This window comes from Homo sapiens, chromosome 18 (assembly GCF_000001405.40).
Source record: "Homo sapiens chromosome 18, GRCh38.p14 Primary Assembly".
NCBI lineage: Eukaryota > Metazoa > Chordata > Mammalia > Primates > Hominidae > Homo > Homo sapiens.
In genome coordinates, this window is record NC_000018.10 from 47,553,440 (window position 1) to 47,567,011 (window position 13,572).

The window sequence follows — 13,572 nt, forward strand, 5'->3', positions numbered from 1 at the left end:
TACATTGAAATGAGTTTTTTCTTTAAAACCCTAGAGATAACAGCCCCTGCACAGAAGCATTAACAAATTGCTTTGCAAATCTAGGCTAAAGTGAGCATTCAATTTGAGGAGGTCAAATCAAGCTCAAGTCCTGAAGCCCAAAGCCTGGTCGCAGCAAGTCCAAGTTGGCTCTGGGATGGATTTGACCATGGATTTAGTCTTGCTTTAGTCCTTGCCACCTTTCCTGGGCCTCCCTCTGGGCTGACTTTCTTGGGGCTCTTGCAAATGCTCAAATGTCTCTGTCCAAGCTTCCAAGGGTTTAGGGCTGGAAACTGCTGAGACTAGAAGCCCTGGGGTGAACAGCCCTTGCTTGGCTGTGCAGTCAGATGGGTGAGAAGAAGGATCCACAGAAGCAAAGACTCAGGCAAGCCCAGGCTGTGGACCACAGAGAGCATCTCTTTCCACTCATTCACTTTACAGAGCGGACACTGGGTAAGGGCTCAATGGTGTGACCAAAGGCCCCCCACTGGTCACTGTAATCATCAAAATAGTAACATTTATGGAGTGTCAGCAATCTGCCAAGCATGATTCTGAGTACTTTATGTTTTCTCATAGAAGGGTCCTAGGTAGGCTGGGCATGGTGGCTCACGCCTGTAATCCCAGCACTTTGGGAAGGGAGGTGGGTGGATTACTTGAGGTCAGGAGATCGAGACCAACCTGGCCAACATAGTGAAACCCCATGTCTACTAAATATACAAAAATCAGCCTCGTGTGGCGGTGCATGCCTGTAGTCCCAGCTACTCGAGAGGCTGAGGCAGGAGAATAGCTTGAATCCAAGAGGCAGAGGTTGCAGTGAGACAAGATTGTGCCACAGCACTCCAGCCTAGGTGACGGAGTGAGACTCTGTCCAAAAAAAAGAAGGGTCCGAGGTAATCCTCTGTGGTAAGGCCATTATTACCCTTTTTCACTTTATATTATTATTTTTATTATTAATACATATATGTTTTTGTAGAGACAGGGTTTTGCCATGTTTCCCAGGCTGGTCTTAAACTCCTGGGCTCAAGCAATCCTCCCCCATCGGCCTCCCAAAGTGCTGGGATTACAGGTGTAAGCCACCGTGCCCACCCCCCACCCCTACATTTTATAGATAAGAACTCAGAGGCACAGAGAGGTTCAGTTGCTCGAATTCGTGCAGCCCGGACATGCTCACCTAGGATATTTATTGGTGACCAGCACTCTGCACTTTGGACCACACTGTCTGCCCACACTTCTGAGCTGTCCTAGCCACACCACCCCAAGCCTGGCCATTCCTGTCTAGTTAGAAATGGCTTCTTCAAAGTCTAGGGCTGGCATCATCTTAACCCGCCAGCCTGGAGACTCTCCTGCCCTTGTGTCCACATCTCGGACGAGGGAAGCCCCTCATACTGGATCTTAACTTTAGTGAAGATGTGTTCCAGAGCCTCACCCAATGCTTTTTAGAGCTGTCCTCTTTTCTTTGAAGCCCAGGCCAAGGAAACCCTCGGGGTGCTCATTTGTCATGTGTTTGCCTTGTTTTCTTAATATTTAGCGGCCCTCTTCCCTCACCTTCCACACCACCATTCACGTCATACTCATGCCCTAGGGACAGGGGATCCAGAACCACAGTGGATCCACTCTATGACATATCTTGTAGTTTATTGCACACTAGGTTACAGGAGGAAACAGGAAGGCCTGGTGGGGTGGAAAGAGCTGCATGATGCCTGAGGTTCTGACTAGCCAGCGTTGTGTCTGCCTCTTAAAGCCACTTCTCAGGCAGCCAAGCATGGCAACATCAGTGGTTCCTGGCGGCATCCTAGCTGGAGGGACCTTGGCCTGAGGAGGGGGTGGGGAACTACCCACCTCTCCTGCCACCCACAGCACTGCTTCTCCAAAGCCATGGAGATCAATCTGCCCCAAATGAGCATCGGGAGCTGCAGTAAACTCAGTCCCCAGGGCTCTTGCCATGGAGCCTGGGGCAGCCTGGGGACCCGGATTAAAATGATACGTTTTCAATTTGGCCTTAAACGAATTCACCAAATCGGCATCTTCGATGTCAAGTGGAAGTGAATTCCACAAATCTCAATTTATTTTATGGGGAAGCGTTATTGATTTTTTTTTTTTTTTTTATCGTCTGCTTCTCCTTCTTCTTCCCTCCCAGCTGCCAAGCCTCTTCCACCTGGATTGAATTGTTTGATTTAAGAGTGGCAGTTCAGAAAGAGGAAGAGATGCCTCTCCCTTTCCTTCCACACATCCCCCACCCTGCAGTGCCACGAACATCCCTTCAAGCCAGGAGAGGCAGGAAGGGACAGGCCCAAGCCAGGATTCCCTGGCTGGGCTAGAGCAGCCTTGCCCCATGTCTCCAGCTTGTCTGCATGTGCCCACACTCAGCCAGTTTGGTGCCTGTTTAGAGACTGCATATGTTGTCATGTCTTTTTTCCTGTGTTGTGCCATTTGTCTCCTTAAGGCCCTACAGGGGCCGCCCCTTGTTCCTGCCTCATGCCCACACCTGATGACCTAGCACCCAAGGCCTTGTAAACCAGACCCCAACCTGTCTGTCCAACCATGTCTGCGTCTGGCCTTCCATTTCCTTCTGGAACATCTTTTATTTATGAAGGTATTTGTATCTTCAGGCCCAGTGACTATCAGGGGCTCAGTACTTGCTTATGTACTGAGGAGGTATGCATGGTGACCCCCATGAGTGCCACTCTCAGGCCCCATCTTTGCTTATGCTCCTCTCTTCCCTTTGGCACCAGCATGAGGCCCCCCCCAATTACTCTGCCCTGTGCCAGCCCAAACTTAGCACACTTCCAGCAGAGCAATTGATTCCCTGGCTCTCCCCACCTCACCAGCCCACTCCTCCTAAAGGGCTTGCTCTCTGGAGCAATGGCTCCATCCTTCACTCAGTGGCTCAGGTGAGAAACCCTGCAGTCATCCTTGGTTCATTTCTTTCCCTCACACCCAAATCCAGTCCAATTCACTCTAATGGTTCCACCTTTTCATAGGCAGAATTGTGGCCCCCAAAGATGTCCACGCTTTGATCTCCATGAACCTGTGAATATGTTCCTTTACATGGCAAAAGGGTCTCTGTAGATGTGATTAAGATTTGTGTATCTTGAGATGGAAAGATTATTCTGGATTACTTGGGTGGGCCCGATGCAATCACATAAGTCCTTAAAAGCAAGGACTTTTCTAGGCTGTGGTCAGACAGAGATGACAGCATGAGAAGGATTCAATACCCTTTCTGGTTCTGTAAGCAGGAGGTTCTGTGCAAGAGCTGGAAAGAAGCCTCTGGAAGCTGGAGAGGCAAGAAAATGGATTCTCTCCTGGGGCCCCCAGAAAGGAGCACAGCTCGACATCGTGATTTTAGCCCAGTGACACTTGTGTTGGATTTCTAGCCTACAGAACTATAAGATGACAAATTTGTGTTTTTGATAACCACCATGTTTGTGGTAACTTGTTATAGGAGCAATACAAAACAAACACAACTTCCTTAAATATGACCTGGAAATGACCTCTCTCTTCCATCTTCCCCCTAGTCCAAGTCACCTAGACTCCTGCAAGAGCCTCCTCAGGCGTCCTTCCTCCCCCAATCCCTGCAATCAGCTGTCCACCAGAAGCCTAAGTGGTCTTTTGTTTTTCATCTTCTTATTTTGAAATAATTTCAACCAAGTAGAAAACCTGCAAGAAAAATACGAGAATTGTCACGCCTTCATCACCCATATCCATCCATCATCAACACTGTGCCACATTTGCTTGGTCACTCTCTCTCTCTCAGATCATGTCCACCCCTACTTAAGCCTCCAGTGGGTTCCCACTGCCTTGCCCTCCTCCTCATAGCCAGTAAAGGTGGATGTTGCCAGGCCCAGCCCACCTTATCCTGTGTTCCCTGTGCTTGCGGTACCCTGCCCGTTTCCGGGCCCTCCCTCCGCTGCCCTCTGGCTGTCATCTGTGTGCCTCGGCTCTAATGTCATCACCTTCCAGACCCTTTCTGTGATCATTCCACTAAAGCAGCCTCCTACTCCACCGCAGCTGCTCTTTATGGCGTTACCCTATTCATTTTTTTAAAACAGCATTTACCAGGCTCTGATGCCATCCCATTCATTTACTGCCTGCTTGTTTATTGTTCATTCACTCCCTGGTGTGTAGCTCTTTGGGCAGGACTCTGTCCGCCTCCTATCCTGAACTTCTAGAACAGCACCCAGTACATAGTAGTTGCTCAACAAATATCTATGGACTGACTGATTTTCTGTGACACATGACTGAACCCTTTTTGCAGATCCAATTGTTTACAGGTGTGTATCTTTTCTTAAGGGCAGGCGGGATTCTTTCATTTTTAAATTCTCCCCTCTCAGGGCTGGGCACACGACAGGACCCCATCTGGATATTGGGGGATTTTCTCTGAAAGTGCGAGCTTCTCGGTGTGGAGGGCCTTCCTGCCTTCCCCACACACCACGCTAACATCCAGCTGTGTAATCAAATGCACCCCCGAGGGAGGCCCAGGGTCATAAGAATGCCTTCCTTCTCCCTCACTGTTTTTCTTTTAGATTTGTCTAAGTGCTGTTAACTTTGCCATCTTGTCTGTTTTCCTCATGCCTGTTGTGGGGTAAACACACAGAGAGCATTAGCCCCATTTGATGGACGATGAAACTGAAGCAAAGGCAGGTTAAGTGGCTTGCCCAAGGTCACACAAGTAATTAACAGCAGGACAACTCCCCTGGTCCCTAGCCTGGTGCCTTCTCCTGCAGACCACAGAGCAGCAGCCTCTTGCCCTCCCCTCAGGGACTGAGGAGCCCAAACCTGATATTATGGGCACAAAGCTTTTAGCAGATGAGTGGAGGGCAGGAAGCTGTGTGGTTAGGTGAGCTCTGGGTATGTGTGTGTCTAATTGCTCTTCATTTCCTTTCCTTTCATTCACAGAGTCATTCATTCACTCAGGCAGACACTCATTCACGAGGCATTCACTGAGCACCTCCCACCTCCTTGGCTTTCTGTTTGGCGTAGAGGAGGATGCTAGAGAAGGAGGCAGGGGCCTCACAGGAGCCTGTTCTCACACATGGGAGACCCAACTCACATATGAGAGGCGATGAGGTAGGATTGGAGACCCCATTCTGGCAGGAGAGGCATTGACTCCTTTCAGATGAATGGAGGAACTCAGCACAAAGCTGTGCACAGCCACAAAACACTCACACTGGGATTGACTCCCTCCATGCAGGTAACTACCCCCAAGCTCCCTGCTGCTGTCTTCTCTAATAAGAGAACCCCTTCCCATACCCCACTCCCCGGCCCTCTGGGGATGGACTGAGCTTCTCTACCTACAGAACTTCCCCCACAGTGGCCAGTTCACAGGGAGGGACTGAAGATTGACCCAAACCTGTGCAATCAGGATCCTTTCTCAGATTTAAAACCCATATATGAGACAGGGAGCTCTGTTTCTGGGCTGGGGAGTGGCTGTGCTCACTGAAAAGGAGGGAGCATGATTACAAACCTACTATGCTCAGTCTCCTACCTCCATGCTTCAATGACAACTTAAATTCCACAACTTTCTGATCACTTTCAGTGAGGACAATCCTGTTCAGTTCAAAGTATAACTTCAAGTTCAGTTTGAACAGCATCTGTTTGCTTCTCCCCAGTGCAGTCTGAGAGGGTCCCCAACTCTCTTGAGGGTTGTCTGGGGCAAGGATGATAGGGGTATGGGATTGGGGAGGAGGCTGGCCAGGCTCTGAGACAACCCAGATCCCTTCCCTCCTCAGTGTCCAGCTCCTCCAGGAAGGTCCCAGGGAGGGAGACAAGTGTCCCTTGGGTACTACAGGTGCTGGGGAGTCCTCTCTCTGTTGGCTCTGCTGTTTCTCTGTTGACCCCTGGCAGGCCGATAATGCCTCAGCCACAACCTTCCAGATGCTGCTCTCTCGTGGGCCCTCATGTGAGTTCCCATGGGCTCCTGAGGGGTCTCTCACTGCCCATTTCTCTGACCTGGGAGTGTCAGCTGGCTCTGAGTTCCATGTCTTCCAGCCCCTCCAGCTCGTTACTCCCAGAGGAAAGAGGGGGTTCACCTCCCAACCTCCCACTGCTGGGACCTTACAGTTGGAGAGACAAGATACACCCATGTGAAATGAAATTATTCCCTTCCCTTCCCTTCCCCTTCCCCTTTCTCCTTCCCCTTCCTCTTCCCCTTCCCCTTCCCCTTCTCCTGTCTCCCCTTTTTCTCACTTCTCTCTTTTCTATCCCTCACCCATCTCGCCCCCTTACTTTGTAAAGCTGAATTCATCAGAGTTGCCTTCAAGGCTGTCCCCAAACACTTCCCTGGCCTGTTCTCTGTGATCATGTGGTTCTTCACCTTCATTTATCTATTTGAGTATTAATAGGAGGGTTGACATCCTCAAGTTTGGAGTTTTATTGGGGAAGTAAAAATAACACAGATACAACAATCACGTACCCAGATAAGGTGACACCGCATCGTGTGCTTCCCTGCACATGGCAGATAGACAGACAGTGCAGATCACAAGGTGGGTGCTAGAGCCAGGTGGCCTGAGTTCAAGCCTAGCATTGCCACGAGTGAACTGTGCAAGTTGGGTGAGATCATCTCACCTGTGTGCCTCAGTCGCCTTCCCAGTAACAGGGGTGATAACAGCAAGTCCCTCGCATCTTTTTTTGTGAGCATTAAGTTAGGTAATGTATGAAAAGCACTGAGAACAGATCTTGGCACATAACAGCTACTCAATACATACATGATGATGATGTGCAGTGAAGGGCAAATACGGTTAGGGTTGTAGTTGGTTGATTCTGTGCCGAGTGAACTTGCCATGACTGTCTGTGGGGAGGGGAGCTGCCATCAGAAGGGAGGGACAGAGCCCCTGGGTGGCTGGGGCAGATGTGCCACCCTCTCCAGAGAAGTGGGGATGCCAGGAACACCTTTCCCTGCAAAAGGGCCATCTGGCCGCAGTAGTCCAGTTGGGGAAAGTGCCCAGGGAGTGCAAGCAGCAGGAAGACACTCTGGTGGCAGTGGTAGTGGTGGCCAGAAGTGGGCATGACAGTGGGGGTGTCAGCTCTGTCTCCATGCCCAGGATCTGAGGTGTGGAGGGGTGGGGAGCCTCCCACAAGGACTCAGGACAGCAGCTGCAGGGGACACAGTGAGAATTCCATTGGCAGTGGCTAAGGACCACCCTGCCCTTGCAGGACTCCTGGGCGTAGGGAGCTGACATAGCATGGCCCTGTCTGGAGAAGCCTGGCCTTAGGATATTTCTTGACATTAAATATTTTCTATGATTACCTGAGTCTCAAAAAGACATCCACCTTACCCACAGTACATGGGAGGGTGAGGCAGAGCCAGGTCTGGAACCTAAATCTTCAAGACAAAGTGAAATCTAAGCCTCCTTCACCCCCAGGAGGTAAAGCTGTCTTGGGTAACAAAAAACAGAAGGCAGGGATAGCGCCACAGGCTGGGGTGGCAAACTATGCAGGCATCCCAGTGCCCGCCAGCCCCCCAGAGCTGTGGCTCTGCAACTGCATGTGTTTACGGAGTCACCACTGCTACCCGGGAGCAGCTCTGGAGAAAGCCAGCCCACAAAGCTTCCCACAGCATCTGCCAAGAATACACCCGACATAATAATTTCTTTGACCTCCACCACATGAGTTTCTGAAAAGAACAAAACAGCATCATTCCCTGGCATTTACAGTTTAAACCTTTCCTATTCAAGTTTCTAACAAAAAAAGCCACCAACCCATTCTGGCCGTGATTAAAATTCATAGGCTTGCTGCAGAGAACAGATGCAGAAGCAATTTTAGGCCAGTCATATCCCAGGTCTGCAAAATTAATTTGACAGGTTTGCATTAAAGCACTGATCAATATCCACTTTAGAGCGGCAGAGGCTAACTGAGAAAAAATAAGTGACCGGAGTGTTACCAGACGAGAAAAAATGAATCTTTGAGACTTTTTTTCCCTCTAAGCTTGCACCTACATCAGAAGTCCTGACCTCAATCCATTGATCGGCTGCAGTTAACATGACAAAAGGCCCAGCAGATAGACCATCTCAGCCTACCAGGGAACAATCACCCGGATACACTAAATGTTTGACGGAGTGACTGGACTGCAGAATTAGTCTTGGCTTTCCGAGGTCGGCCACCAGCCCGGTCTTACTGAATCCTCCCCCTCCCTCCCCTAAAGCCATTTGCAGAGACTCAACTTTTCCTAAATTTTCTCCCACGGATGGTGTAGGGATGTGGTCCGGGGAAGGTGGGAACTGGCTCAATTCAGCCACCAAGAAAAGGAGGCAATGAAGTCCAAATCTTTCTTCACGCAGCACTTTAAAATGGAAGCACCAACGCTGGCATCAGCAGAGTCCTTCAAAGAATTTGATTCAGTGGAGGCCAACTCAACAAAATAGAAAGCCCCAGATGGACAGCCATTGGCTGCACCTGGTAAGAAATGGGCTCCAGCTGGCTATTTTAGTATCTTCAGGTGTATAAGGGATGTAATTAAAATTCAGAGCATCTGTCCTAGGCCTCCTTGCTTTCCTGTTCTCTCTCCCACCACACAGCCAGGTCACATTTTGGCAATAATTCAACAAATCAAAGATGAGCACCCAGTAAGAATGGGACCTTGGTCAGGCACTGGATACACAGGAAAGAGCATCTCCCTGGGACCTGCACCAAACTCTCACCTTCTCTGTGAGTGTCTTCCTAAGGGAAGTTGAATATTTCCTTTCCCAGCTCACTCATCTGCTGCGACCCATGTCATTCAGCACTTGGCTAATAAAATGAGCTGCAAACACAACTACAGATGCAATTTAAACTTTTCTAGTAGCCATATTTTAAAAAGTAAAAAGAAGCAAGTGAACTTAATTTTAATAGTATATTTTATTTAACCCAAAGTATTGAAAATACTATCATTTCAACATAGAATACATATGAAAATTTACTAAGTAGATATTTGGCATGCTTTCTGTTTTGGTTCTAGTCTTACTGCACATTTCAGTTTGGACTGGCCACATTCCAAGTACTCAATAGCCACAGGTGCCTAGTGGCTGTCCTGCTGGAAGGGATAGAGACAGAGACTAACAGTGCTCAGTCTGGGTTTCATTGCTGACATCCATAGATAGGTACCTCATCCTATCCTTCCTTACTCCCATCCTCCTAATCCCTGACATTAAGGTTATTTAACTCTCATTCATACTACCAGTTGTTAAATACTTTGTTGTTAAAGGAGATGTCACAGTAAATATTTGACATGGAGAGTCCAGTGGAAGATATGGCCATGATCTCACATGGACACAGGCAGTGGGCAGGTTGTAGGCTCCCTGGGGTCAGTGGCATGTCCTGGCCCTCCATTTGCCATGGTACCAGTACAGTGCCTGGCCTTTACAGCAGGGGTCCCCAACCCCTGGGCCATGGACTGGTACTGGTCTAGGCCTGTCAGGAACTGGGCCACAAAGCAGGAGGTGAGGGGTGGGCAAGACAGCATTACAGCCTGAGCTCTGCCTCCTGGCAGATTGGTGGTGGCAATAGATTCTCATGGGAGTCCTATGAGAACTGCACATGTGAGGGATCTAGGTTGTGTGATCCTTATGAGAATCTAATGCCTGATGATCTGAGGTGGAACAGCTTCATCCTGAAACCATCCCCTACCCTCTGTCCATGGAAAAACTCTCTTCCATGAAACTGGCTCCTGGTGCCAAAAGGTTGGGGATCGCTGCCTTAGAGGGTCCATCATTATTTAACATTTATAAATAACTTACCACATGCCAAGAACTGCCCTCAGCATTTAATAAGTATTAACTCACTTAATCCTCATAACAACTCTATGAGGTGGATGTTGTCACAACCCCTGTTTCACAAATAAGGAAACAGATGAGGTTTAAGTGATTGCCCAAGGCCTTACAGCTGGTAGGTGGCAAAGCAGGCTTTGAATCCAGCAGCCAGGCTTAGAGTCCGTGCCCTTCACCCTGCTTCTGTCTGCCTCTTGTTCATGTTCATTTATGTTCAAGATACATGAAGGCATAGGATTGCCCTTTTTCGGGTAACCCCAGCAGAGTTCCCCTAGGTTCCCTTCTGATCTCATGTCGGTGCCCAGGCTTTGGCATTTTACCAGGTGTGTTACTGACCAGTGAACTTCATAAACGCCCTTGTCAGGAAGCTAGCTTCCTCCCGCTGCAGCCTTGCACTATGGAAAGAACAGTTGGCAGATCTGTTGGCCTGAGATAGCTGATCCAGAGGCATGAAGCACAGCGGCCTGGGGAAGGAGCCATCATTCTGTTCAGAAGGGCTGTGTGTGCAGCAGAAACTCAGGATGTCCAGTCTCCAGCCAGATCCCAACCATGTCTCCACCACTGCCCAGTGTGTGAACCTTGAATCGGTTGCTTAACTTCTGCATGCGGAGTTTCACAAGCTGTAAACCCAGTGCTATGGACTGAATATTTATGTCCCTCCAAAATTCACATGTTGAAATCTAAGCCCCAAGGTGATGGAATTTGGAGCTGGGGCCTTTGGGAGGGTAAAGCCTTCATGAATGGGATTAGTACCATAAAAGAGACTCCAGGGTGCTCCCTCACCCCTTCTGCCATGTGAAGACACAAAAAGATGACAGCCATCTATGAACCAGGAAGCAGGTCACTGGGCACTCAATCTGCCAACACCTTGATCTGGACTACCCAGCCTCCAGAAGTGTGAGCAATAAATTCCCATTGTTTAAAAGCTACCCAATCTATGGTATTCTGTTACGGGAGCCTGAATGGACTAAGTCACTCAGGAAACAGCACCTATTCCACCTTTCATTTGGGGAAGTCAGGATCAAATAATGATGATGATTGTGGAAGAACCTTAAAATTATACAGCAATATGTAAAATGTGAAGTTTTATTGCATTTGTACTATTATTGACTGTAGAAACACATGGCTGTGGGTTATGATCCAGGGGTCATAGTGTTTGTATCTGAGCAAATGTCTCCCTGATTTTTCATCACTACCCAAGAGAGTGGAGCTAATATTTTAAGCTTTTGACTGAAGACAACTTTACAGAAATTCTGCATCGTGTCATTCTAAAAGCCCAAAGAAAAGAAAAGAAAAGGCTACAGGCATCATCAAATTGAAAGTACTTGGAAAATGAAAATGGCAGTAGCTGGAAGAAGGTGTCAAGACATCAGCTTCACAGGGGTGGGGAATCCCTGTTTCCCTGTCCACAAAACACCTCCATCACAGCCCTTACCTTGTTGCCTGGTAACTCAATGGAAAGAGCTCATTATTTTTACTTTGGTCTCTGTTCCCAGCATCTAGAACAGAGCCTACCCTATAGGAAGCAGGTCCTAAATGTTGAACGAAGGAAAGAATAAAAGGATGATGCTATCCCTAAGTTGGAAGGAGGCTGGGCAGAGAACGGGAGTTGTCAGTGAATGGGAGATCTGCAGGATTGCAGTGGGGCTCTGCCTGAGCCTTCATCTAAGGCTGGAGAAAGCTCAGCCCACACCCAAAGAAGCAGCCAGATTCTGTGGAGGGTCCTGATGGGCAGAGGACAGAGGGGGTCATCTCTGTTGTCTGCATTCAGACATCCTTTTCCTTCAGCTCTTTGCCATGGAGCTGTCCTGCCCAGCCTTCTCTCTTACATCAAATCCATGAGTCCCAAGGGCTCACCAGCTCCCTGTTACCATTCTCCACTCCATGCCCGTACCTCATGCACATACTGCATTGATGCTTTTACTTTCTTTCCCAATCAGGTGCCCTCTTGTTGCCTTTTGATGCCCAGGACTTACAAAATCTTGTATTTGAGGCAAAGCCTCATGTCACACCTGCTACATGCCACCTTCTTCTTCTCCAGAGACCCACCGGGGCCCCTGCCCCAGCTTTATTTCTTCAGGGCCATCTTCCACTTTCCAGAATCTGAGATCAGCCACATGGGGCACTGCATGCCAGCTTAACTCAAGGATGTATTGGGAGGCTTGTTATGCAGTTCCAGAACATGAGCTCTGAAGTCAGACCACATGAGCTTGAATCCCACCTTTGCCACTTACTAGCTGGGTAACCTTGGGCAAGTCAAATGAACTTCTAGTTATTATTGATGCATAGCAAATCACCTCAAAATTTAGCAGCTTGAAATAACTACTGTATTGTACTCATGAATTTTGCAAGTTAGGAATTTGAACAGGTTGTGGTAGGTATGGTTTGTGTCTACTCCATACATCTGAGGCCTCACTGGGAAGACTTGAAACCTGGGAATATCTCAAAGACTGGGGCTGGAATCATCTAAGCTCTTTCACTCACATGTCTGGCTCCTGGACTAGAATGACTCAAAGACTATGATCTGTGACTAGAGCATCTGTCTGTGGCTTCTCCATGGGGCTTGGGCTTCCTTACAACATGGCAGCCTCAGAGCAGTGGAACTTCTTACACAGAGGCTCAGTTCTCCAAGCCCTTGGGTTCCAGTGAACAAAGTAGAAGTTGCCTGGTCTTTTATAGCCCAGCCTCAGAAGTCACAGAGCATCACTTTTTGCCATACTCTATTAGTAGATGCAGTCAGAAGCCCACCCAGATTCGAAGGGAGAGGATGTAGAGCCCCACCTGTCAATGAGAGGAGCATTAAAGAATTTAGGGTCTATGTTTTAAAAGCATTGCAACTCCTCTCAAACTCAGTTTTCTTATCTGTAAAGTGGAGATAATCATGCCTATCTTCTAAGGTTATTATAAGGCTTACATGAGATAAGGTATTTCAAGTGCTCAGTGCAGTGCCTGGCACCACTCAATAAATCTCAACTTTTATTATTAGAAGTAACATTAGCAACTAATGTTTGTCATTAGGAGTAAAAAGTATTTTCTGCATTCTTTGCATGGTAGGCATATGTGCCCAGCTTCATGCTTGGGGGTGTAAGGGAAGCCTAGAACCCATTCTCTGTTATCAGACTGGGGAAATAAGATGCATACATAACATAGTTATCAACCAAAAGTCAAATGATGTGACAGAGATTCACTATTGGCAAGTTCAGGAAAAGGAGAGAGGAGAGTAAGCTTATCTGGTCAGAGGAGGCTTTGCAGAGGAAGTGGGACTTGAATCGAATCTTGAAGGATTTAGGATAGACAGGAGGGAAAGAGGCAGAACTTCTGGGTAACACAGACTGACCTACAGGAAGACAGAGACTGGGATGAGGTGACAAGTTCCTGAGACAATAAGGACACCAGCACCTTACAAGAGTGTTTGACCTCTTTTTGCTTCCTAATTGTAAAATAGGGATGCAAAAAAGTGTCCCAATAGTGGAAATCCATCTGTCTATCTGTCCATCTAGCCACCCATCAACCCATCCATCCATCCATCCATCCATCCACGCATGCAATATTGCCGAGCCCAGTTATAGATACAGAGGATATGAAGGTGAATAAGAGAACCTTAAGCAGTAAAGAGATTCACTGAGTATCATCTAAATGTCAGTTACTTTACTAGGCATTTGATGTTCATTATTTGATGTTTATTTATTATTTGGGCTTCCTTACAATGTGGCAGCCTCAGAGCAGTGGAACTTCTTACACAGAGGCTCAGTTCTCTGTGTAACATAATAATATAATATAAATTATTATTATATTTTATAATATATTTAAATTA

General features: G+C 47.9%; 1 long non-coding RNA gene across 1 annotated transcript in view, besides 2 other annotated features; it reads left to right on the top strand.

The window, feature by feature from the left end:
• Positions 1 to 13,572, top strand: part of MIR4527HG (MIR4527 host gene) — a 308,827-nt gene that overhangs the window by 267,716 nt on the left and 27,539 nt on the right. The window lies entirely within an intron of this gene.
• Positions 7,480 to 8,264: an enhancer, noted in NCBI's record as "VISTA enhancer hs679". NCBI's record gives its function as "enhancer in: hindbrain (rhombencephalon)[5/7]" and the evidence as "EXISTENCE:transgenic organism evidence [ECO:0001131][PMID:17130149]".
• Positions 7,673 to 8,254: an enhancer, noted in NCBI's record as "OCT4-NANOG-H3K27ac hESC enhancer chr18:45087483-45088064 (GRCh37/hg19 assembly coordinates)". NCBI's record gives its function as "activates a minimal SCP1, AML or CMV promoter by ChIP-STARR-seq in naive and primed H9 embryonic stem cells {active_cell/tissue: H9 hESC(naive and primed)}" and the evidence as "EXISTENCE:reporter gene assay evidence [ECO:0000049][PMID:30033119]".